Raw genomic sequence first — 25,568 nt, 5'->3', positions numbered from 1 at the left:
GTTCCATGTACTGAGCACTTAATATGTAGCAGGCACCAGGCTAGTGTTGACTACATACTGTCATCATACGAATTGTCCACTTCTTATAATAGCTCTGTAAAGCAGGTATTTTAAGAAGGAATAAAGAATGATACTACCTTCCTACCCTTGGTTGGTGTGTTGTGTACACTCTTGGCTAGAAAGCATTTTGTGACGCAGAGCACTTTGAAATAAGGGTATGGTGGCTGACGCCTGTAATCTCAACACTTTGGGAGGCCAAGGTGGGTGGATCGCTTGAGTCTCAGGAGTTCCAGACCAGCTGGGGCAACCCTGGGTCTACAAAAAATACAAAAATTAGCTGCGCACGGTGGTACATGCCTGTTGTCCCAGCTACTCAGAAGGCTGAGACAGGAGGATTACTTGAGCCTAGGAGGTTGAGGTTGCAGTGAGCCGTGACTGTGCCACTGCACTCCAGTCTGGGTGACAGAGAGTGAGAGAAAGAGAGAAGAAGAGAGAGGAGAGAGGAGAAAGGAGAGGGGAGAAGGGAGAGAGGAGAGAGGAGAGGGGAGAGGGGAGAGAGGAGAGAGGAGAGAGGAGGGGAGGGGAAGGCAGGGCAAGGCAGGGCAGGGCAGGGCAGGTTAGTGGAGGAGAGGAGAAGAAAGACAAGAAAAGAAAGAAAGAAAGAAAGAAAGAAAGAAAGAAAGAAAGAAAGAAAGAAAGAAAGAAAGAAAGAAAGACAGACAGACAAAGAAAGAAAAGAAAGAAAGAAAGAAGGAAGGAAGGAAGGAAAGAAAGAGAGAAAGAAGAAAGGAAGGAAGGAAGGGAAAGAAAAAGAAAGAAAGAGAAAGAAAGAAAGGAAGAAGGAAGGAAGGAAGAGAAGAGAGAGAAAGAAAGAAAAGAAAAAGAGAGAGAAAGAAAGAAAGAAAAAGAAAAGAAAGAGAAGGAAAGAAAAAGAAAGAAAGAAGGGAGGGAGGGAAGGAAAGAAGGAAGGAAAGGAAGGAGGGAGGCAGGGAGGGAAAAGAAAAGAGAGAAGAGAGAGGGAAGGAGGGAAATAAAGGAGGGAAAGAAAAAGAAAGGAAAGCAAAAAGAAAAGAAAAAAGAGCAAGAATAGAGATGTTCACCTATTCCTGTGTGAGCTCAGCAGTCCCTGGCCTAGTGGAGCTCCTCAGAGGCTGCGCTGAAGCCCTCCCCCAGAGGATGTGCAGGCATCAAAAGCCTTGATATGAGAGGCCTCAGCCGCCACTGAGCTTGTTGGTGCAGGCCCCCAGGGAGTCTGTGTGCTCAGACATGGGGACAAACAGCCATACAAGGAGTGCTCCCGACGGGCTTTGCTGCCGATGCCAGTGTATGAATCTGTAAAGAAGGGATCCATCGTGGGGTTCCCTTTGACCAGAGGGTGGAAAAGATTCAGGGTGAAAGGGGAGCTATGGTATGTCAGGGGACACTCACAGAGATTTCTTGGGAAAATTTAAGGGCTGGATGGTCCCAAATGAGATGGGAAGATTCCTTAGAGAGGAAGGGAATCCTTTTCTGAGCCAAATGGGAAGGAGCATGATGCCCAGGGTGAGACCAGGCTGCAGGGCTGCTCCATGGTTAGGGAGATTAGGGCCACTGCTCTGATGTGGAGAGGACCCATGGGAAGGGCCAAACGGGATTATTTCCACAGAGAGAGGAGCAGTTGGGGAGAGAGATAAGGAGAGAGTAAGTGTGCCTTCGATGATGGAATAGCCCATGCAAAGACGAAGGACAATGAAATACTATTACTTTTATTGCAAAGTCAATGCACTTCACATAAATGAGCTCAAATTATCATTGTCTGCATCCAAAATATATACATTATGGAAGTCAATGGCAGGAGGCTGTCCTGAGGCTCTGCTCTCCCTTCCTCAATCCGCAAGAGTGACTGTACAATGAGAGGTAAATCAGAGGGAAGGATGGAGATGAGAAAGAGTCCAGGCCTTTATCCAGACAGACATGGCTGCGAGGACTTGAGCCCTGGATTCCTCAACTGTAAATGGAAATAGCAATACCTAGGGTTCCACGAGTGTTCAATGATTTTTCTTTTTTTTTTTTGAGAGGGAGTCTCAATCTGTCACCCAGGCTGGAGTGCAGTGGTGTGATCTCAGCTCATTGCAACCTCCGCTTCCTGGGTTCAAGTGATTCTCCTGCCTCAGCCTCCCAAGTAGCTGACATTACAGGTGCTCGCCACCACACCCGGCTAATTTTTATATTTTAGTAGAGATGGGGTTTCACCATGTTGGTCAGGCTGGTCTTAAAACTCCTGAACTCAAACAGTCCTCCTGCCTCAGCCTCCCAAAGTGTTGGGATTACAGGCGTGAGCCACTGCACCCAGCCCAGTGATTACATGTTAAAAAAAGTCCTAGGGTCGCATGACATGGGATTAAGTATAGAAAGCGCCTGGCAAACAGGAGGTGCTCGGCAGATGCCGGCTCCCTCCTCTCCACCCCAGGCTCGTCTTCAGTGTCAGCTGAGGGATTCTGGTTTTGCTACATACGCACAGTCTTTTTGGCTGGCCAAACTGAGGCTGCTCGAAACACTTGCATTTGAACTGTCCAGGCTGCTGCCGAGGTGTAGTTTTCTCATATGTCTGACGACGGCCGTGGCATTAAATGCTTGCTGAAATTTCAGAAAGGAAAAAAGCAGACAAATATTTCAGCTAATCGGAAAAGACTCTAACTGTGTTCTCTTGTTTATCACATTAGCCTAAGCATTTCAAACTCCTTACATCATTCTCATGCTACTCAAGAAGGAAAGCTTATGTTGTCCCTTCTTCTAAAAGTGCACTGATTTATTAACCCCTTTCCCCAACTAAATATTTTAGAGACTTAAAATAGTTTTCTTCTGACATCATAAATACATAGAATAAACATAAACCAATTCTCTCTGTAATTTAAGAGATGTGGCCTTTAGAATAAAAGGCATATTATAATACCTTAAAAATGTGAGATTTGAAAATAGTTTTTATTTTCCTAGTATTGGTACTTTTGTCTGAAAGATTTAGGTTGGTGCAAAAGTAATGGCAATTTTAATGGAAGAAACCACAACTACTTTTGCGCCAACCTAATGATAGCATGTCCTATGAATACAGCAGGCCAGCAAAATTAATTTTGTTTCCGTCTCATCTTTCACCATTGGCCCTCATGGCAAAATAGCTAGCTCTGAATTGCCATTGCTGATTGGAACACGGAGGGGAGGTCAGGTAATCAAGAGATTAGGAAGTCAGGTAATCAACAGATGATCACAAAACCTCCATGGTTTAAATCTGTCAAACTTTTATCAGGAAACATTGATGAGTACAACTCAGATTTCCTGTTTTTTCCCCCTCCATATCGCTTTAATAAAAGTCAGCTATTCAAAGTTCTAGCAAGGTGAAGAAAGACAAGGGTGATGTTGGTTAAGAAACAGCAGATGAGGAAGAGCTGGCACTATTGCTGTCTTTGATCACAGAGGGGAAGTGTTGAATTGCACACTCCATCCCTCTTACACCATAATATTCCCTCTGAGTCTTTATTACTTGCAGTTAAAATTAGCAAAATTATTCAGGTGAGGTTCTGGGGATTTCAGAAATGCTCAGATTGGAGGGCCAGTGTCACGAGGGGGTTAATCCACGGGGAATTTCATATACTCCACACTTACTCTCCATTTGCTCTTGGCAAAGTTTTTCCGGATCTGGGCGCTGACGGACTCGTGGATGTTTTTGTTGAGGGCTGTGTCACCAGCGATCCTGAAACAGAGGCAAAGGTGCTGCTCTGAAGTGCTTCTTCTGGGCCCTGACACTGCGTCCCATAAAGGGGAGTCTTACCTAGCCTCAGGAGAGCCGAGGCTCAGTCGTGGACAGGGTGGCTGGCCGCTGCCCTTCCAGGCTGCTGATGTCATCACCTGGCCATTCCCTAAACCCACCCATTCTAACCCCTCACCACAAAGTCCTATTCCAGCTTCTACACTCCGCACCCTCCCCAGACCCGCCAGCGCCCTCCTGGTTGACTACTCCCCGGCTCTCATTTTTTCCTTCTTTGACCCCAATTCCTGCAACATCAGAATCCACAGTGACAATGTCTCCCATCCTTCTCCCTCCCCCTCATCCCCTCTGCCTCCACACAAGCTTTTGAGCCACCATGCGCCACCTCCAAGGTCTCACACTTGTTCCCCAACTGGTCTCAGCACCAGACCCCTTCCCGGCCTTGCTTCCCAGCTTCCTCAGACCCGAGGTCCCTCCTCTCTGTCTTCCCCAGGGGCGCTGCTCCCAGGGCACCACTCACACCCGTGGGCTCTCAGCTTCATCTCAGCAGAGCTGAGCCTGCCACATTCTGCTTGGCAACACCTGTGAGCCCATGCCCCCCACCCACTCTATGCTGGGTGACAGGATTCCCAGCTCCACTCAACCCCGCCTGGTACATCCTCCACCCTTGCATCTCCTTGAAATTCTTAGAACTTCAAGGACGGCGTCCACCCTGCATTCACCTGAGCCCTTGGCAGCCCCGGGTAAGCTTTAACTCTAGCTGATTCCTGAGCCTGCCATGAGCAGGGAAGAACTTAGGTTTGCTCCTGGCCTTCTCTCCTGACAGTACCCTCCATCCCACTCTTTCCTCCCTCTGCTGTCTCTTTCTTGGGTCTTACAGCCTCCTCCTCTCTCTCGGCTCACAATATCCAGGCTGAGAATTACCTGGCAGTCTCCCAGCTCTTCCTTCCCTCATGCATGCCCTTCTCGATCACAGCCTCCTCCTCTCCCTACAGGCATCCACTTGGCCTTTTCCCCCTGGGCCTCTGTGCTCTGCTCCCAGTCTTTCCTGGGCTTTGATCCTTCCCTCTTCCCTTCCCTCTAGCACCAAACTATTCAATTCTGGGTTACTATCTGATGGCTAAGAAAGAGTTTCATGAATCTTGCAGAAGTTAAGGGGATCAGAGTCAGAAACCAACGTTATGGGCTGGAAGGTAACTGGTAAGGGAGAAAACCTCTCACCCCTGAGACACTGACTGCCCTGGACATTAAACAGCCCAGACACGGCAACCATCACTTCCAACTACTTCAGGAGATGAAAGGAACACGGCTCAGGCATATTCAGACAAGAGAGAATACCAGCCAGACTTTCTTTCCCATCAGGACTGCAAACAGGGTGGACAGAGTCGATATAAAATTGGGGCCAGGCTGGCCTAAGTTTAGAATCCAGGCTGATGTTCCCAGCTCAAAACAACTCTCCCCCACCACCTTTTCCCAGCAGGGCTGCAAACACACAGCCAAGGGGACGTGCAGGAAATATCTCAAGCAAACTAGGTTTTCATTTCCAACAACTGTCAACTGCCTTCCTTCCCAGACACATATTCCTGAAACAGAAATAGAGTATTTGAATGGGCAACTACATCTGAAACAAGAGTAACAAGACAAAGAGGATGAGAGAATGAGAGACATCTTTATTAAGCTTTTTTCCCCGGAGAGCCCAAGGGAGTGATTCCTCCTGGACCCTGTTGAAAAGCTACATCCTCAGAAAAGGATGCCAGTCCAAGCTTGCAGCGGCCAGCTCTTTCTTAGAAACGACAAGGCCAAAGTGGTGGGGAGTCTGGAATTCCTCAGGCTGAGCACTGCTGCAGGGCAGAGCCAGGCTCCAAAGCAAACAGGCTGGTGCTGGGGTCGGGGAGACTCTGGGCCTCGGGGTCCACCTGCTTGTCCGCAGTGTGGTCTCAGACCCCACGGCCCGTGGCCTGCTGCCTATACTCTGTGTCCCATGCTATATCTGTGGGTTCACATGGGCCCAGATGTAAGAAAACAGAAGCTTCTAATTATTTTAGGAATGCTTCATGCTCATTTCCCACAGTCCTGGGCTGTGCAGCAGTGGGGAGTCCAGCTGGGCAGAAGGTGGCCCCCAGGCTCTGTGTTACACGGTCTTCCTGCAGCAGTGCAGCCATGTCAGGCCACAATAGTGCACCGTGGCCCTCCCCAAGTACAAGCCGCAATGACAACGGTGACCCATGCTCATGATAAGCTAGGAAACTTGCAATAGTAACATCCGGACAGCGCTGATGCTCAGTGTCACTAACTTCAGCACGCTTCGCCAACAAAACCAGAGGCATGGAGTCTAAACATTGGAAGGGATCCTAGTGGTCAATGCTTCTGATACAGCAGGATTGCTTTATCAATCCATATACACACACTTAGGCAACGCTATGGGTGAACACATTTCATTCATGTCTCCCTTGCTTTTCTGTTTTCTTTTTTTTTTGAGACAGAGTCTTGCTCTGTCGCCCAGGCTGGAGGGCAGTGGTGCGATCTCGACTCACTGCAACCTCCGCCTTTGGGTTCAAGTGATTCTCCTGCCTCAGCCTCTTGAGTAGCTGGGATTACAGGCATGCACCACCATGCCAGGCTCATTTTTGTGTTTTTAATAGAGATGGGGTTTCACCATATTGGCCAGGCTGGTCTTGAACTCCTGACCTCCAGCGATCAGCCTGCCTTGGCCTCCCAAAGTGCTGGGATTACAGGCATGAGCCACCACACCCGGCCAGCTTTCTGGTTTTAATACCTACAAGAACAATGCAGATAGCATTTACGTAATCACACCTTTTACAGCCTGTCTCACTATCCACCACTCACGGACCACAGCCTAGTCTCCCCTGCCTTTCGTGGTTTTGTGTTTTGTGTGTGGTCTCTTCTACCTTCCTGGCTCTGAGTCTGCGCTTTTCTAGCCACCTGCTCAAGATGGGCCTGGTGGTGCCTGGTGTGTACCCGGGACAGCACTTGCCAGTCCTGGGCCACCTCCCAATTCCTACAGCCAACCGGAGCTCTGGTGTCTGGAGCCCAGAAGATGGGAGCGGGGGTTCGGCGAACACTCAGGAATGTGAACTTGGCTACTTGGCTAGGCCACGGTACCCAGATATTTGGCCAAATACTAGCCTGATATTGCTGGGAAAGTATTTTTTAGATGAGATGAACATTTCAATCAGTAGACTTTGAGTCAAACCGACTAGAGTCCATGCCATGGGTGGGCCTCGTTCAATCAGTCGACGGCCCTCATGAAAAACAGGAAGAGGAACTGCTGTCTCCAGTCTGCCTTCGGACTCGAGCTGCAACATCAGCTCTTCCCTGGGTCTCCAGCCTGCTGCCCTGGCCTGCAAATTTTTGATTTGCCGGTCCCCACAATTGCAGGAAACAGGCTTAAATCCTTAAAATAAATTAATCTCTCTCTCTCAGCGTCTCTTCTTATCACTTCAGTTTGCTTATCAATGAGCCTAGAGATGAATGCTCAGAACCACTGAGCTGGAGGAATGAGCTCTGGCCAGGGCTGCCCTGTAACAGGGCCTGGGTTCCCATCCTGGCCCTGGCCATTCCCTACACTGTGGCCATCAGTCGGCAGCCTGTTGGGACCTGAGCACACACCACAGAGAGAACAGCAATGCTCAGTGAAAGGGGCGGGAGCCATCTGCTAAGAGGCCGGCTGCCTCCATCTGCTAAGAGGCCGGCTGCCTTCCAAGGGGGAGCTCTGAAAAGACCCCTCTCCTGTCTGAAGTGGTCTGTTTGGGGGCTAAGGAAGGTGTCCATGATTGCCAAGGCCTCCCTCGCCCTCGGTGGCCCTGCTGAAGTCAGAAGAGCAAGTGTGGAATAAGAGATGATGCTCTCGGGGTGTCAGGGATGTGCGGAGACCACAGCTTCCAGAATGCTGCCGCTGATGAGGAGGGGCCGCCTGGAGGAATGACTCCATATTCTGCCAGCTCTCACCTGAATCTGTGTTCTACTTTGCCCAGGCAATGTTACATAAAAGAGAGAAGTATATCATAAATGCAGGCAAGCGAGAGTTTCAGCAATGCTTGGGTCAAGTGCATTAGTTTTCATCATTTTCCAGGGTTTGACTTATTGGGAGGGTTAAAATGTACTGTAGGCCGGGCATGGTGGCTCACGCCTGTAATCCCAGCACTTTGGGATCACAAGGTTAGGAGATCGAGACCATCCTGGCCAACATGGTGAAACCCCATCTCTACTAAAAATACAAAAATTAGCTGGATGTGGTGGTGGACACCTGCAATCCCAGCTACTTGGGAGGCTGAGGCAGGAGAATCGTTTGAACCCGGGAAGCGGAGGTTGCAGTGAGCCGAGATCGCGCCACCGCACTCTAGCCTGGCGACAGAGTGAGGCTCCCACCACCTCCGGTGCAGCGTGGCCCAGGCTGAACTCACTCCTCCAAGCCTGCCCCTCCTCCTAGCACAATCTTCCCCCGAGTCCCGTAAGTTGGAAACTTGGGAATAATCCTAGACCCTTCTCTTCCTTACCTCACTCTGCCACTGCTCTGCCCAATGCCCATGGCTTCTCCGTCCCTGACAGTCACTCACAGTCCTCCCTGCCCCACTCCATCCCTGCCACGCTGCCCCGCGCAGGCCACTGTCACCCTCCTCTGGGCCAGCCCCCTTTCCGCCTCTAGGCTGCACCTCTGGCCACGCTCCCACACTCCATCTCCCACCAGATTGGGTTGTCTAAAATCAAACCTCAGCACCCTGCCTAACAGATGTCAGGGACCCCACTGCCCAAAGGGAAAGGTATAAATTCCTTGGTAGAGTCATCAATTAATGGCAGCCTGTAGGTATCACAGATGTGCAACGCTTCTTCTTTGTCACATGTATTATCTCACGTAACCCCTTGAAAAGTCCTGCGGGGTCCGTATTATTGTTATTCATGATCTGATTCTCCAGGGGCAGCCCAAAGGGCTGAGGAGCTCATCCACACGGGCAGTGAGTGGTGAAGCCAGGACTTAAGAGCCGAGCAGGCCAGGCCAGGCCCCTGCCCTGCCTGCCAGTTCCTGCCCTCCTTCCCAGTCTCATTTCCTGTCTCCTGCGTCCTCTCCTACTCTGGAATACCATGTGTTCAGGGCACCAGGAACGCACATGCAGTTTTAAGCTCCCGTGTTGTATGCCCAGACGCTCATCTGCCTGGAATTCCCTCCTCTTCCCGCTGGCCTGGGGCAAGCCTTCTCATGGTGTGGCACTCAGCAGGGCCTCCACCTCCTGCTGGGCCCTCTGTGCCCCTCTCCCAGCCTCCTCGGGAAAACTGACCTCTCCCTTCTTTGTTTTTTCCAAAATGTTTGGTGAAGGAGAGAGCAGGTGTTAACTGGCCTTTTTCCTGCCTTCTACAGAGCAAGTATGGATTACCAACAAGCACTAGGCTCACATCCCTCCCTCTTTTATTGAGGTCATTTTTATTCTTTATAAGATAAATCTCAAAAGTCTTACAGCTTTAAAGGCCTAATATGTTTATAAAGTAAGAAAACCTTTATTACCTTTATCGTCGCATACTTTGACTACTGCCCAAAGTGACTTAAACAAAATCAAGACGATACACAATCACAACTGTCCACTTCTTCAGAATGTTCTTTCCTTCTCCCCCAAGCCTTTCCTTTCTTCCCCTTTTCTTCTCCTTCCAGTGTGATGGTGAAGGGAATTCATTTTGGAATCAGATAGTTTTGGCTGGAATCCTGGCTTTGCTATTAGCTAGCTGTGTAGTCTCGGCTAAGTTAATTTACCTTATTTTTTTTTTTTTTGGGACAGAGTCTCGCTCTGTGGCCCAGGCTGGAGTGCAGTGGCACCAACTTGGCTCACTGCAAGCTCCGCCTCCTGGATTCAAGTGATTTCCAGGCCTCAGCCTCCCCAGTAGCTGGGATTACAGGCACACACCACCGTGTCCGGCTAATTTTTGTATTTTTAGTAGACACGGGGTTTCACCATGTTGGCCAGGCTGGTCTCGAACTCCTAACCTCAAGTGACCTACCCGCCTTGGCCTCCCAAAGTGCTGGGATTACAGGCATAAGCCACCACTCCCGGCCATCTCTCTATTTCTTTATCTCTGAAATGAAAATACAACTTCACAGGGTTATTATAAAGGAAAAAAAGAAGACAATACATTAGAGCAATTAGCCCAGTGCTGGAATATAATAGAGACTCAATAAATGATAGGTGTTATACACTGAAATACTGTGAAATGGGGTCAGGACATTGTCTGTGAGCAGGTCCCCTTTAGAAGGCTGACCAGCACACAAGACCCCAGGGGAAATGCTACAGAGGATGGCGGGGCACACAGGGGGATGGTTTTCTGGAGTAATTTTTAGGGGGATTTTCTCCTGATCTCAAGGTTCTGTCCATTTATTTTCATTATCTTTGGTATTTTACGACTCTTGGCATTTGTTTCACAATGGATGCTCGTGGTGCTTACATAACAATCACTACAGGCCAGCGCGGTGGCTCACACCTGTAATCCCAGCACTTTGGGAGGCCGAAACAGGTGGATCACCTGAGGTCAGGAGTTTGAGACCACCCTGGCCAACATGGCGAAACCCTGTCTCTACTAAAAATACAAAAAATTAGCTGGGCATGGTGGTGCCTGTTAATCACAGCTACTTGCGGGGCTGAGGCAGGAGAATCCCTTGAATACAGGAGGCGGAGGCTGCAGTGAGCCGAGACTGCCCCACTGCACTCCAGCCTGGGTGACGGAGACTCCATCTCAAAAAAACAAAACAAAACAAAACAATAGCTACAATTAACTAAGCATTTCTGATGGACCAGAGGGTTTCTGTGCTAAACCCTCTACATGCATTATCTCCGGTATTTCTTATGTCAGCCCTGCAAATTAGGTATTGTTATTCTCATTTTAACAATGAGGAAACAGAGGCTCACAAAAGTCAAGTGTAAACCTAGCATCGCAGCTAGCTGATAGTGAAGCTGGTTTCTAAATTAGTGGCACAAAAGCAAGGTAGCCTCACGCCCACTGCTGAAAATGTGTAGAATGCCATCAACTCTCAATTAGTCCCTCTCGAGTTGAAGAAACACAAATTCGAAAAGCATCTTAAAAGGAAAAAAATATGTAACTTCATTTAACTAATGAGTAATAAACTCAAGGAATAAAATTCCGATTGTAATGCCTCATTGGGCAATTATCTTCAATATCTTTAAAGACTTTCTATGAAATGCAAAAGCAGCTATCTTTTGCATACTGATGTGGTTTGGCTCTGTCCCCACCCAAATCTCATCTTGAATTCCCACGTGTTGTGGGAGGGACCTGGTGGGAGGTAATTGAATCACAGAGGCAAGTCTTTCCCGTGCTGTTCTCGTGACAGTGAATAAGTCTCTCATGAGATCTGATGATTTTGTAGAGGAGTGTTCCCCTGCACAAGCTCTCTCTTTTTGCCTGCTCCCATCCATGTAAGATATGACTTGCTACTCCTTGCCTTCCACCACGATTGTGAGGCCTCCCCAGCCACGTGGAACTGTGAGTCCAATGAAACCTCCTCCTTTTGTAAATTGCCCAGTCTCGGGTATGTCTTTTTTTTTTTTTTTTTTTTTTTTGAGACAGAGTTTTGCTCTTGTTGCCCAAGCTGGAGTGCAATGGTGCGATCTCAGCTCACTGCAACCTTCGCCTCCCGAGTTCAAGCGATTGTCCTGACTCAGCCTTGCGAGTAGCTGGGATTACAGGCGCGCGCCACCATGCCCAGCTAATTTTTTTTGTATTTTTAGTAGAAATGGGGTTTCACCATGTTAGCCAGGCTGGTCTCGAACACCTGACCTTGTGATCCACCCACCTCAGCCTCCCAAAGTGCTGGGATTACAGGCATGAGCCACCATGCCTGGCCTCTGGTATGTCTTTATCAGCAGCGTGAAAAAGGACGAATACACATACTAACTTCTCATGGTGCTTCCAGAAGCTGTGTCCTGGGGGCACAAGAGTTCAAATGTTGGCTTGGGGAGAGGAGGAAAGTCACTGGCCAGAATGAGATGAAATTTGTAATAATCCTGTGTGGATTTCATAAATGACAACGGCCAACAGGAAGTTTCGTGCCCCCCCCAGATGGCATTAAATGGCACGGTCTGCTGAGCGGGTGCATTTCCTTACCATGGGTGCCGAGCTGCCTGCTCACACGTGTATCTTTTATTCGGGTCCTTCTCCATCAGGTTCCGAATGAAGTCTTTTGCTGTTCAAAAAGAAGGCACAAGGGAAGGAATCACTTTGCGACTTGAGATGTGACAATATGATCCCACCAGGTCTTCAGGAGGAGCGTGTGTAGCATGAAAAATATGAGACCAGCCCTCCACAGAGACTACTGTACCTTGGACACAAAGGCACCAGCGTGTGGGGAAAAGGAAAGCCAGGACTTGGCACTCTAGGGTGGCCCAGCAGTGAGGAGGTGGCCTGGGACCCTGACTTCCAGCTCCAAGGCCCTTACCTCTAGTGGCTAGTGATACCTTTGGTTGAGAGAAGAGAAGAAATATCTTTGTTATCATGTGCCTCTAATTAGTCCATCACTGCCTTAGAGAACTGTTTTGGTGACATCATCTCCATGTGTTAAATGTGGCTGATTCAACTAAACCTACTGAGCACCTGCTCAGCCCATCAGGTCCTGGGCTAGGTGCTGTGGATATCAAGTCCCCAGAAAGCACCATGTGTGGCCTACTTGGGCTATTACAAACCCTGGAGCAGAAAACTGCAATGCAGTGAGCTGTGCCCTGCTGGGGGAAGTGGGGGAGTAGTTGGCAGCCCAGGAGAGGGGATGGCCCAGAAGACCCTGGGAAAGTGAGGGGCTGGGTGGCAGAACTGATGACATCATGGGTCAGGCCCCAAACCTGCTGCACTGCAGGGTGCGGCCCCTCAATGCCCAAAGGACTGGGCTTCTGGGGGAAGGCTGTGCTCCTCTGAGCTCAGAAGGAAAATACTTCCCATGTGGCTCTTTCCCGCGAGCCTTGTACAACTATACTCCAGGCCCAGGTTTCCAAATGCTGAAGATGAAACCAAGGCATTTCCACTTAGGATGAAGTAACACAAATAATAACATGCTCTCTTTGAATAGCTCACGGAGACTAGAACGCATTGTCCCATTCATGATCTCATTTCATCCTTCTGCTATGCTCTGTGGTAGAGATGGAATATTATTACCTGCCTCATCTTACCAGCGAGAAAACTGAGGCTTAGAGAGATTTCATTAATTTACACAGGCCTTGGTTTTGATCTTTTTCCCTGAGGAAGGAACAGTGAACTTCCCTAGGAACGTTTCAGAGTGGCATTTCAAATGCCGGCTCTGCCCCTTACTAGTTGTATGATTTTGGTCAAGTTATTTCACCTTCTGGGGCCTCGGTTTCCTCGTCTGTCAAATGGGGTTAACAGTTAATACCCGCCTGACAGGCTGTCCTGAGGACTGAGTGAGTTAGCACACATACAGAGCATCTTGTGCTCAGCATACAGTCAGCACTCAATAAATGTCAGCTACTATTGGTTTACTCCTGGAGCTCCCAGAACAGGGCATGGCTAGAAGAGGTGGATGAGTGGGTCCCCATCTCTCAGCGTGGCTCGAGCCAGATGTCCCAAGCTTGTCCTCTTTGTTTGCAAGTCAAACGCAAATATGTAGCTCATGAAGCTTTCTGAGAGCTGTTATGAACTGTCTGCTGTGAGTTTGTTAATCCCCCACAGTTCATATGCTGAAATCCCAACCAATGTGATGGTATTTGGGGATGGGACCTTTTAGGGGTAATTAGGTCATGAGGGTGCAGCCCTCATGAATGAGATTAGTGCCCTTATCAAAGTGACTTGAGAGAGCTCTCTTGACCCTTTTGCCATGTGAGGACATGGTGAGAAGGACATAGTTGAGAAGAAAGCAGTCTATGAACCAGAAAGTGGGCCCTCACCAGATGCTCAATGTGCTGGCGAATTGATCTGGACTTCCCAGCCTCCAGAGCTGCGAGGAATAAATGTTTGCTGTTTGAGCCACCCAGTCTATGGTATCTTGTTACAGCAGCCAACCAAGACAGGACCCTCAGGACTGTTCTGAGCCCCCCAGGGTCCCCTGGGCCTGTCAGGGTCACGTGGTCTGGGTGTAAGTGTCGCGGGGGCCGCCCACTGGGAGCTGCCTATGGGAGACCTACCAGAGTCGGAGATGTCATCCCAGTAGGGAGAGTCAAACTCATATTCCGCCTTGAGGATCTGCTCAAAGAGCTTGGAGTCATTTTCATCATAAAAAGGAGGGTAGCCGCAGAGCCTAGGAGACAAAATGGAGTAAAAGCTGGAACATCTGCATAACCAGTGTGGTGACTGTACACTTTGCCTGGAAGGAAGAGACATTACCAACTGAGTTAAGAAAATCTGGCAAGGCACAGTGGCTCACGCAGGTAATCCCAGCAATTTGGGAGGCCAAGGCGGGCAGATCACTTGAGGCCAGGAGGTCCAGACCAGCCTGGCCAACATAGCAAAACCTCGTCTCAACTAAAAAATGCAAAAAAAAAAAAAAAATCAGCTGACATGGTGTGGTGGCTGGTGCCTATAATCCCAGCTACTTGGGAGGCTGAGGTGGGAGAGCCTCAAGGGAGAATCCTTGAGCCTGGGAGGTGGAGGTTCCAGTGAGCCAAGATCGCATCACTGCACTCTAGCCTGGGTGACAGAGCGAGACTCTGTCTCAGAAAAAAGAAAAGAAGAAAGAAAAAGAAAAAGAAAATCTGTACCGCGTGTGTTGCAAATATAATCTCAACCAAGAAAGCACACATTCCGCAAGGATAGGTGACACAGGAGTAAAACTGCGATTTAATAAATAGCAAAAAGGGTCAACTCAGGTCATGATCAAAGGTAAATAACTATTGAAGTCCCCCTTAACTCTCTGCACAGAATTAACCACAGAATCCCACACGCCCTAAAAACCTAACAGACAGCCTTCTTCACATAAATGTTATTGATCTTACTGTATGTAATACTGTCCCTAACAGAGGATGAGCTGATGGAGAAAACAAACAAAAGATATGTTTAATATCCATTTCAGGGCCCTTCCAGGTTCATTTTATTTCAGAAATCACCAGAGGAAGAAAATGAAATTTTATGACGTTGAGTTTCAAGTTGCCACAAGACACCATAACCTGCACATTGTCACGCACATAACCTGCACATCAGCACACTACCATGCCCAGACTGAGTATGCGGAGGGTTGTGGTTTTGCCCATTAACATGCAGTAAGTATCAGCAGGGCTGACAGACGTTGTAAGCCTACAATATCATAATACTACCCATTTTTCCATGGATCCATTTCAAAGTTGATTTTTAGCAGATCATATTAATGCTGGTGCAAGTGACTTATAATTTAGAGTTCTGGTGGGACAACAGGCATCTGACACACACAATGGGAGTGGAAATTCTGATTAACTAGACCCACTACAATTCATTCCATAAAGTCATGGATTCTCATTTCAGTTCTGAAATCAGTTTCAATGCTACTTTTACCAGTGATGCATTTTTTTGGACCAAAATTTCCTTCCCTGAAAACACGAGGGGCTGGCCTAGAAAACCCCTAATATTTTTTCCAGCTTTAAGATACCGTGGCTCTATGATTCAGTTTGGCTGGCTAAAACACTCAGGAAAAGACCTAGAACATGCTTGGGGCCCGTGTGGAGGCAGGGGCTGGCCTTGGTTTACACTGGACGGCCAGGAAGAGGTGGGCCTAAGGCTGCAGGAAGGCGGAGCTTGATTCCAGAAGGCCAGGGGCAATGCAGCGTGGTGCAGAACTTGCTTCTCGGGCTGCGACAACCCAGAGGGTGGCAGCCACGGTGGCAGTTCTTTTTTTTTCTTTCTTTCTTGAGACAGAGTCTCCCTCTGTCACCCAGGCTGGAGCACAATGGCGTGATCACAGCTCACTGCAACCTCTACCTCCTGGGTTCCAGCTATTATTCTGCCTCAGCCTCCCAAGTAGCTGGGATTACAGGTGCCTGCCAGCATGCTGGGCTAATTTTTGTATTTTTAGTAGAGATGGAGTTTCGCCATGTTGGCCAGGCTGGTCTCGAACTCCTGACCTCAGGTGATCCACCCTCCTCGGCCTCCCAAAGTGCTGGGATTACAGGTGTGAGCCACTGAGCCCGGCCCATGGTGGGAGCTCTGACCCAAACAAGCCCTGAATTGTACCACATAGATCAACATTGTTCAACACACAGCCACAGCCTAGGGACCAGTCTAATGAGAACAAATTAACAAGAAACAACAGAGCGCAGGACTGCGAGGGATTAGGCTGTCAGCACACAAGAAATGCAATACAGGTTAGAAACACCACCTTGGTACCGCCATTCCTCAGCTGTTCCTCCCGTGGGACGCACATCGCCAGCCATCGCTGCGCAGGGGCGTGCCTGATGACATTTTTAAAGGCTGTGAGACATTCTGTGGGCCCGTAAGAATCAAAATAATCTCTCCCCACAAGGTTGCCTTAGGGACTAAGAGCCTGGAAAATTTCATTTTTAAAGATGTGCTGCTTTTAGTGAAATGAACAAGAGCCAGGGCTTCCGAAACCACCAGGCACATAGTTCACTGCCCACGGAAATCCCGGAGCCCCAAGATGGGTCTGTCCATTTCTCCCACGATGAGGATTCAGGCAAAATGAAATGTGCATATTAGGAAACGCAGACAGAGCAAAATGTTAGTTCATCTTGGAGAAAAAACTAAATTCTAGATATGTGAGGTTTTTGTTTATTTACAACCGTGTGTGTTTTTCTTTAGGGTTTGGCTTTCTTTGCAAGGAAAAAATTCTTTAAGAAAATTCCGAGAAACATTTATTCTCTGGGTGCCAGTTTTTTAAATGTATATTCCAGTTTCTTCTGGTCTTAGCTCTTTTTTCTTTCCGTGTTTTTGTATTATAGGATATTGTGTTTATGTGGCTGAACTGAGGACACAGGAAAAGGACATGGATTGAGCTTGGAGCCTAAGTAAGTCAAAATTAAGAAAAAAGATTTAAAAGTAAGGATTGTAAAATAACAGAAGGACAAACAGAAGTTACAAAATCTTCCTTAGATCTAGAAATTTCAGAGAGCTCCCTGGCCAAGCTATGTCATTAGCAGGTTTGTGTGGAGGTGATCTAACAGAAGTAACAACCTTGGGCTGTTTAACTTGATACACAGAGGACTTCTGTGACCATGGGGCCGCCCATTCACACTGGTAATCCCAGGGTTGTTAACGAATGTTCCAGAAGTGTGGCTTCTTTTACATATCCAACCGTTTAAATAATCTACAAATTATATCGCCAAGGGTCCTCAAAGGCAATAATGCCTTTCCCAATTTTTCTAGGCTTCAAAGTTCCTGATTCAGAATAACACTGGCATTTGCAACTGTCACACCCAATCAAGGCAATTCACCTCCAAAGCACTCTTCACTGCCTCCATCCCAGCTTCGGGTCTGTCTTCTAGGAAGAACTCTTACATCTTACTGTCTTTCCTGTTGCCTTTTTCCCCTCTCCCCTCAGCCCCCTGGGTCTAGAGGTGCTCACAGCTCAGCTGCAATGAGGCCCAGGGTCATGGGTGCTATTCCTTGTGGTTCCCACACCTCCCTTTTCGTATACGGTCCTTGCACATCCCTCTTTTTAAAGGCAAAGAAACCAACATGCAGAAAAATCAGGGCTTGAGCCTATTCTGTCGGATTTTTAGGCCTGTGTTCTTAACTATTTTGCTCATGCACTAAAGGGAGGGGACTCAAGAATTGAACTTCGGGCGTTGAAGTCAATCTGACTTTGTGTTCTCTCTGTGGGGCGTTTGGTTTGCTCTACCTGCCCCTGCATCTGCAAGTGGAACCCTCTGATGGGACCCTGCCTCTCCGCCCCCATCTCCCTCAGGCAGGGTCTAACAAATAAGATGCTACCTGGGCCGGGTGTGGTGGCTCACGCCTGTAATCCCAACACTTTGGGAGGCCAAGGCGAGGAGATCACCTGAGGTCAGGAGTTCGAGACCAGCCTGGCCAACATGGTGAAACCCGGTCTCCGCTAGAAATACCAAAATTAGCTGGGCGTGGTGGCAGGTGCCTGTAATCCCAGCTACACGGGAGGCTTAGGCAGGAGAATTGCTTGAACCCGGGAGGCGGAGGTTGCAGTGAGCTGAGATCACACCACTGCACTCCAGCCTGGGCAACAAAGCGAGACTCCATCAAAAAAAAAAAAAAAAAAGTGGTGCTAGGGCAGTACCAGCCACAGCCACATGGGACACCAGGCAGTGACTGTTATATTTTATTTTGTGGTAAGGACACTTAACATGTGATCCACCCTCCTAACGCCTTTTTTTTTTTTTTTTTAATGAGACAGGGTCTCTCTCTGTCACCCAGACTGGAATGCAGAGGTGCAATCTTGGCCCACTGCACCCTCCCATCTCCCAGACTCAAGCCATCCTCCTGCCTCAGCCTCCCAAGTAGCTGGGACTACAGGTGCACGCCACCATGCCCAGCTATTTTTTTTTATTTTTGTAGAGACAGGGTTTTGCCATGTGGCCTAGGCTGGTCTGGAACTCCTGGGCTCAATCCACCTGCCTCTGCCTCCCAAAGTGCTGAGATTACAGGTGTGAGCCACTGTGCCTGGCATCTTAACACATCTTTAAGTGTACACTACAGTACTGTTGACTATAGGTGCAATGTAGCACGGGAGGTCTCTCAAACACATTTATCTTGCTTCACTGAAACTGTATACCCAGTGATTAGTAACTCCTCATGTCTCTCCCTCCAGTCCCTGGCAGCTACCATTTCCACTCTTTCATTCTATGAGTTTGACTATTCTAGATACTTTGTATAAGTGGGATCCTGCATTATATGTCTTTCTATGCCTGGCTTGTTTCACTTAGCACTGTGTCAATGTCCTCAAGGTTCACCCATGTTGTCACATGTTGCAGAATTCTCTCCTTTTTAAAGGCTGAATAGCATTCCATTATATGCATCTACCACAGTTTAACCACTCATATGTTCATGGACACTTAGCTATTCAGCTATTGTGAATAAGGCTGCTATGAACATGGGAGTGTTAATCTCTCTTCAATATCTTGATTTCCATTTTTTTGGAATTGCTAGATTATATATGGTAGCTCTATTTTTAATCTTCTGAGGAATTGCCACACTGTTTTCCATAGAGTCTACACCCACACATCCTCCCCAGCCCTTGCCTTTTTGATTTCTCAATGACATACAAATGGTCAACAGGTATGTGAAAAAATGCTCAATATCACTAATCATCAGGGAAGTGCAAATCAAAACCACAAGGAGATGCCACTTCCCACCCGTTAGGATGACTATTATCAGGCAGTGATTTTTAAAAAGTATTTCTGTATGGATTTTTTTTTTTTTGAGACAGAGTTTCACTCTGTTGCCCAGGCTAGAGTGCAGTGGCTCAGTCTTGGCTCACTGCAACCTCTGCCTGCTGGGTTCAAGTAATTCTCCTGCCTCAGCCTCCTGCGCACCTGGGATTACAGGTGCACACCACCACACCTGGCTAATTTTTGTATTTTTAGTAGAGATGGGGTTTCACCATGTTGGCCAGGCTGATCTCAAACTCCTGGCCTCAAGTGATTCACCCACCTAAAGCTCCCAAAGTGCTGGGATTACAGGGATAAGCCACCACACCCAGCCCTGTATGGATCTTATAGTATTTCACAGTTTTCGTTTTGTTTATTTGTTTGTTTTTTGAGAAGGAGTTTCGCTCTTGTTGCCCAGGTTGGAGTGCAGTAGCGCGACCTTGGCTCACCGAAACCTCCACCTCCTGGGTTCAAGTGATTCTCCTACGTCAGCCTCCAGAGTAGCTGGGATTACAGGCACCTTGACACTACACCCGGCATTTTTTGTATTTTTAGTAAAGATGAGGTTTCACCATGTTGGCCAGGCTGGTCTCAAACTCCTGACCTCAGGTGACCCACCCAGCTCGGCCTCCCAAAGTGCTGCTGTGAGCCACTGTGCTCAGCCGCTGTCTTCATTTTTAATCAGCCGACATACACATAGTCACTTGGTGCCTCCTGGCCTACGTAGGCCTACCTAGGCCAGGAGGAGGTATACCAAGCACTCACACGTCAAGTATTTGTGTTGCACCTACTATATACCAGATACTGAGTTTGATACTGGAAATACAATGCTAAGTTAAGAACCAGTTTCTGCCTTCAAGAGCTCAGAGTGGGTGAGAGAGGCACATAAAGAGATAATAATGACATGGGTGACAGTAACAATAGAAATCTGCAGAGGCTATTCCGGGTATACAAGGGCGTGCAAGCCAAGCAGCTTTGTGGGAGTGGAGGAAGTGGATGCCTATGCCCTATCTCAGGGGATAAGCAGGAATTTTACGGGAGAAACAGGTGGGCTGCCGGCAGGAGTGGCTGCCCAGGAATAAGAGCATGGGGCATAAAACAGCAGTTTATTCCAGCATGGAAGAGCAGCTTGCTGCTGCGGTGCGGCATGTGAGCTGGTTTGCAGCTAGAGCTGAGGTGAGGCCTGGCAGGGCTGTATTCCCCACCCTAAGGTGGGTGGTCTATCTTGCAGGTAGAAGGAAGCCCCTGAATGGTGTAGACAGAGGGGCGATAGGGACAATTGGCTTTGCAGCAGAGATGTGGCGGGTTTGAGTCAGGAAGACGAGTGGCCAACTTGCTGCAGCCAGAGGAGACAGGGGGGCCTGCAGTGGAGCTGGACGGAGGAACGGACAGTTCAGACAGAACCGGGCAGATCTGGTGTAGGACGGTGTAACCAGTGAAGGCCAGGATGCCTCAAAGGTCCCCAGCATGGACTACAGATGATGCCCACTGTGTGAAGAATGCAGGACAAGGAGCAGGTAGCCGGGGTGGCCTGGCTGTTATCAACCACAGCACCTGGTAATTCCAGCTCCCTCTTCAGTGGACGCTGCCTGCTCAGAGAGGCGGCTCCAGGCAGTTCTTTGAAGGCAGGGTGAGGAGGAGAGAGGGCAGCTGAGCCAACTCCCTGAGGCAGCCCCATCCCTGGTAATTAGCTCTGATAACTACACTGGATCTTGCCTAGGTTTCAACTGAACACTAAAAGAAAGCAGGGAAGAGGGCAGAGCATGGGCCGGGAGGAGAGATCTCCACTCAGTGGTGAGGCTGTGAGAGGAACCCACGCTTGTGGCCGCATCAGTGCTAGGCCTTCCAGTTCATTCCACACGAAGCTGTGCAACAAATCTCTCTTCCTTAAGGCAACTGGAGAGAATGTGTTCCATGCACCCAGAACTGCCAACATCCCACAAAGGATATCAACGAGTGATTCCTTTCATGCCGGGCAGAGCTGGACCAGGTACATGTGAGAGATTCAGGTGAAGGTAGCCAGCAGGCAGCTGGAGTTAGAGGCCTTATGCCAGGGACAGGTGTATCATGGGGGTGCTGGAATACAGCCATCAGCACATGCATGAAAACCGGGACAGCAGATAAGATCACTCAGAGTAGATAAGATCACTCAGCTCAGGGGTCGCACACAGACCCTCTACAGACCTGATCTGGCCCATGATGTGTTTGGCCAGCAGCGATTTCAAACAGATGTGACTTTGAGTGACCAGAGACAGGTGTTGATCTAGCCAGACCGCCACAGCCCCAAAGTCCCCACGGTCTTGGCATATTGAAGCATGTATGTATGTGGATGGGGACCAGACACAAATTCCCTGGAAGCCTGGCATGGCTGGCTGGCTGGGTAAGAACAGCTAGTTTATCCACTTCTTTTTGTGTGCCAGCAAGCCCCTGGCATGGACAAAAATCACCTAGCTGATTACACATTAGGTCATCTCCCTGGCCCTCCACCTGCTCAGTTGGTGACTTTGAGTCAAGGATCAAGGGTGGAGCTCGGGAGAAGGACACTTTGAAAGAGGGGAGGAGCCTCAACACGGTTAGGCCCTGCTGGGCTGCAGAGCTGCAAAAGGGACGCAAAAGGGGTGAGCCCTGCTGGCCAGGGCCCAGAGGCTGGACGCTATGGAGCAGGTGGATTCCTCCTCCACAGCTGCTGCAGGAAGGCAGGGAAGAGAGAGCAGTCTGACAGGTAATCAGGGAAGGCTCCCGGGAGGAGGTGTGACCTGCATCTACAGCAGTGATTCAGGCTGGGAAGCTTACATTAATAAAACCGCCTGTCAGGGACTCCTCTGGCTGTCACCAAAGACTGAGCACTGACCAGGTCCCAGGCATGGAACAGACGGTCTGAGTCCCTATTCTCATGCCATTTACATTCTAGTTGGGGGTCAGGGGGACAGATACCCAACACTAACCTTCAAAATAAACAGGAAGTGTAAAAAATACCCAGAAAAGGTCATTTGGAGCTGGTCAGGGGAAGCCTTGCATCCTCAATCGAGAAAATTCCTTTCTACACACCGTTCTCTGTGCCCAGGGCTGCTCTTCTCCCGCTGTGCACAGACGTGACCTGCTCTCCCCCAAAGCCCCGTGCACAGGTCTATGCTCAGTGATGTCTTTCTTGATCCCACCCGGCCAGGGCAGGCCCCCACCTTGGTGTTCTCCAAGTTTGCTAGGCACCATCATCGTGGCATGCGTGTTGGTTTCTGTCTATGTCCCATTGTCTTCTCTGATACAGTCTGAGCCCTCCAAGGGTGGTGATGCCTCATTCCTTTTTGCAACCCTGGTCCTATACCAGTACACAGCATGTGCTCAGCAAAAGGTGGCTGGATGCCCGAGTCATTAAATGCCTGTGTTTCAAGGACTGCCACCCCAACCTGACTCGGTCCCTCTCCAAACAGTTCTCATTCTTCACAGTCCAGCCCACCTCCCTCTTGGGTTCTCTTAAGAAATGTAAAGATATCGGCCTATTGGCCAGGCGCGGTGGCTCATGCCTGTAATCCTAGCACTTTGGGAGGCCGAGGTGGGTGGATTGCTTGAGGTCAGGAGTTTGAGACCGGCCTGACCAACATGGTAAAACCCCATCTCCACTAAAAATATAAAATTAGCCGAGCATGGTGGCGCACGCCTGTAATCCCAGCTACTCGGGAGGCTGAGGAAGGAGAATCACTTGAACCCGGGAGGTGGAGTTTGCAGTGAGCTGAGATCGCGCACTGCACTCTAGCCTGGGCAACAAGAGCAAAACTCTGTGTTTAAAAAAAAAAAAAAAAAAAAGAAATGTAAAGATATTATGGCTTATTATCATGATTATAATGTTTACCTTCCCACCTTGGTAATAAGTCCCTGAAGGACAAAGACTGTGCTATATCTAGTATTTCTTTTTTTTGAGACAGTCTCATTCTGTTGCCAGGCTGGTGTGCAGTGGCGCAATCTCGGCTCACTGCAACCTCTACCTCCTGGGTTCAAGCAATTCTCCTGCCTCAGCCTCCCGAGTAGCTGGGACTACAGGTGTGCGCCACCACACCAAGCTAATTTTTGTATTTTTAGTAGAGACGGGGTTTCACCATGTTGGCCAGGATGGTCTCGATCTTCTGACCTCGTGATCCGCCTACATCGGCCTCCCAAAGTGCTGGGATTATAGGCGTGAGCCACCGCGCCCGGCCTAGTATTTTTTTTGTATCTTTTTTTTTTTTTTTTTTTTTTTGAGACAGGGTCTAGCTTTATCATCCAGGTTGGAGTGCAGTGGCATGATCATAGCTCACTGCAGCCTTGAACTCCCAGGCTCATACAATCCTCCTGCCTCAACTTCCTGAGTAGTGGGAACCACAGGCGTGCACCACCATACTGGGCTAATTTTTTTTTTTTTTTTTGGTACAGACAGGGTCTTGCTGTGTTGCCCAGGCTGGTCTCGAACTCCTAGGCTCAAGAGATCCTCCCACCTTGGCCTCCCCAAATCCTGGGATTGCAGGCATGAGCCATCATACTCAGCCTGTATCTTTCATTAGCACTCAATAGTATTTATTTATTTATTTATTTATTTATTTGAGACGGAGTCTCACTCTGTCGCCCAGGCTGGAGTACAATGGTACAATCTCCACCTCCTGAGTTCAAGCGATTCTCCCAACCCATCTTCCCAAGTACCTGGGATTACAGGTACCCACCACCACGCCTGGCTAATTTTTGTATGTTTAGTAGAGATGGGGTTTCACCACATTGACCAGGCTGGTCTTGAACTCCTGACCTCAGGTAATCCGCCCACCTCTGCCTCCCAAAGTGCTGGGATTACATGTGTGAGCCACTGCGCCTGGCCTCGATACTATTTAATGAATATTTGTCGATCGATTATTCTTTGATGAACAAGAAATACTTTGTGTGAAATATTTATGCTTGTGTGTGTGTACTGACTTAAGAAGTTGTACTGAACATCCCAAAATAGGTGTTTACCCTGAAAAAGGAAAATTGAACCAAATTTTCCCAAGTGTAGTACTTTTTCAGTTATTTTTGCAGTAAAGCCTTCTGATGGCCAATGGCATCCACTGTAAATGACACCCCTCAAGGCAGACTGGAATGAACACAAGGAAACTTCAACAAATATGCCCTGGGCCCACCCCATCCAGGGCCCCAACAACGGCCTCCAGGGACTTCCTTGCTGCGGAGCTCCTCCCACCAGCAACTGCCCAGCAGATGACACAGTTGACAGGTGGCGCCTCCCGCTCCCAGCCTGAGTCCTCAAATCAGAAGCTGAAAAGTATGTTTGAAGAAGTGCTTTTCAAAGTAGGGGGATTCACACAGTCAAAGATTTTATTCTGGGGTCCAGAAGCTATCACCTGGTCCAACCCCTTGTTTAAGAGACAGGGAAAGTGAGTCCCAGGGAGCTGAAGAAGAGACCTGGGCATCTGTCCAGAGCTCTGGTCTAGAAAAAAACAAAGGCTACTTCAAGCCAATTCTATACACACACACATAGTTATTATTATTATTATTATTTTTGAGATGGAGTCTCCCTCTGTTACCCAGGCTGGAGTGCAATGGCGTGATCTCGGCTCACTGCAACCTCTGCCTCCTAGGTTCAAGTGATTTTCCTGCCTCAGCCTCCCGAGTAGCTGGGCTAATTTTTGTATTTTTAGTAGAGATGGGGTTTCACCGTGTTGGCCAGGCTGGTCTCGAACTCCTGACCTCAAGTGACCTGCCCGCCTCAGCCTCCCAAAGTGCTGGGATTACAGGTGTGAGCCACACCCACCCTTGGCCAATTCTACAGATACTGACAGGGCACTGGTGTTGTGTGAAATGCTGATCATGGAGCAGTGAGTAAGACAGACCCAGGTCTTGCCCCTCAGGGTTCCATAGTCCAGCCTTATTTAAATGGGACAGTGGAACATTTACTTTTCTACAATAGAGAAACCACTTCTAGTGAATGTGTCCTATAAACGTTAATAACCACATCTACCATGTACGGAGCTGTCACCGTGCCAGGCACTGGGCTATGTAATTTACATATATTATTGTCTTATTTAATGCATAGTTCTAAGTTTTTCAATCTTCAATTTCCAGATGAGGAATTAAATGCATGAAAGATTAGGCTACTTGCTTACATCTAAGGGACAGCACAGAATTTTAGTCTCTTTGTCCAACTCCAGAGCCAGGTCATATTAACCTTTAGGACCTCCATCCAGATGTGCCACTGCAAAGATGGGGAAACACCACACCTGCATGTTCTCTTTCAGAACCTGCCTCTGCAGTCAGACGGTCATGATTTTTCTGTATCATACTTTTAGAAACAGAGCCAGAGACGAGGCCACGTGACCTGCCAAAGAAATGAAGAGCAGGCCGGGGGCGGGGACTCACGCCTGTAATCCCAGCACTTTGGGAGGCCACGGTGGACGGATCATGAGGTCAGTAGTTCAAGACCAGCCTGGCCAACATGGTGAAACCCCATCTCTACTAAAAATACAAAAAATTGGCCAGGCGTGGTGGCACACAGCTGTAATCTCAGCTACTCGGGAGGCTGAGGCAGGAGAATTGCT

At 48.7% G+C, this 25,568-nt stretch overlaps 1 protein-coding gene across 10 annotated transcripts in view, besides 6 other annotated features; it reads right to left on the bottom strand.

Annotated features, from left to right (window-relative positions):
- Window positions 1-25,568, bottom strand: part of CAMK1D (calcium/calmodulin dependent protein kinase ID) — a 485,999-nt gene that overhangs the window by 7,357 nt on the left and 453,074 nt on the right. For 6 of the 10 annotated variants that reach the window (NM_153498.4, XM_047425537.1, XM_011519591.4 and 3 more), the window contains 4 exons: window positions 13,882-13,994; window positions 11,861-11,939; window positions 3,637-3,724; window positions 2,499-2,616 (listed from right to left, as the gene is read on the bottom strand). In NM_153498.4, the coding sequence (NP_705718.1) occupies window positions 2,499-2,616; window positions 3,637-3,724; window positions 11,861-11,939; window positions 13,882-13,994 (398 nt within the window). Of the gene's footprint in view, window positions 1-1,724; window positions 2,617-3,636; window positions 3,725-11,860; window positions 11,940-13,881; window positions 13,995-25,568 lie in introns of those variants that run through there. The other 4 variants (NM_020397.4, NM_001351032.2, XM_006717483.5 and 1 more) reach the window with 3 other exon arrangements.
- Window positions 7,478-8,082: an enhancer, noted in NCBI's record as "H3K27ac-H3K4me1 hESC enhancer chr10:12862106-12862710 (GRCh37/hg19 assembly coordinates)". NCBI's record gives its function as "activates a minimal SCP1, AML or CMV promoter by ChIP-STARR-seq in primed H9 embryonic stem cells {active_cell/tissue: H9 hESC(primed)}" and the evidence as "EXISTENCE:reporter gene assay evidence [ECO:0000049][PMID:30033119]".
- Window positions 8,083-8,687: an enhancer, noted in NCBI's record as "H3K27ac-H3K4me1 hESC enhancer chr10:12861501-12862105 (GRCh37/hg19 assembly coordinates)". NCBI's record gives its function as "activates a minimal SCP1, AML or CMV promoter by ChIP-STARR-seq in primed H9 embryonic stem cells {active_cell/tissue: H9 hESC(primed)}" and the evidence as "EXISTENCE:reporter gene assay evidence [ECO:0000049][PMID:30033119]".
- Window positions 8,688-9,293: an enhancer, noted in NCBI's record as "H3K27ac-H3K4me1 hESC enhancer chr10:12860895-12861500 (GRCh37/hg19 assembly coordinates)". NCBI's record gives its function as "activates a minimal SCP1, AML or CMV promoter by ChIP-STARR-seq in naive H9 embryonic stem cells {active_cell/tissue: H9 hESC(naive)}" and the evidence as "EXISTENCE:reporter gene assay evidence [ECO:0000049][PMID:30033119]".
- Window positions 20,444-20,944: an enhancer, noted in NCBI's record as "H3K4me1 hESC enhancer chr10:12849244-12849744 (GRCh37/hg19 assembly coordinates)". NCBI's record gives its function as "activates a minimal SCP1, AML or CMV promoter by ChIP-STARR-seq in naive H9 embryonic stem cells {active_cell/tissue: H9 hESC(naive)}" and the evidence as "EXISTENCE:reporter gene assay evidence [ECO:0000049][PMID:30033119]".
- Window positions 23,711-24,211: an enhancer, noted in NCBI's record as "H3K4me1 hESC enhancer chr10:12845977-12846477 (GRCh37/hg19 assembly coordinates)". NCBI's record gives its function as "activates a minimal SCP1, AML or CMV promoter by ChIP-STARR-seq in primed H9 embryonic stem cells {active_cell/tissue: H9 hESC(primed)}" and the evidence as "EXISTENCE:reporter gene assay evidence [ECO:0000049][PMID:30033119]".
- Window positions 24,212-24,712: an enhancer, noted in NCBI's record as "H3K4me1 hESC enhancer chr10:12845476-12845976 (GRCh37/hg19 assembly coordinates)". NCBI's record gives its function as "activates a minimal SCP1, AML or CMV promoter by ChIP-STARR-seq in primed H9 embryonic stem cells {active_cell/tissue: H9 hESC(primed)}" and the evidence as "EXISTENCE:reporter gene assay evidence [ECO:0000049][PMID:30033119]".

The sequence above is a fragment of the Homo sapiens genome, chromosome 10 (assembly GCF_000001405.40).
Source record: "Homo sapiens chromosome 10, GRCh38.p14 Primary Assembly".
In the NCBI taxonomy this organism is placed as follows: Eukaryota; Metazoa; Chordata; class Mammalia; order Primates; family Hominidae; genus Homo; species Homo sapiens.
This window is presented reverse-complemented; position numbering and strand designations above follow the sequence as displayed.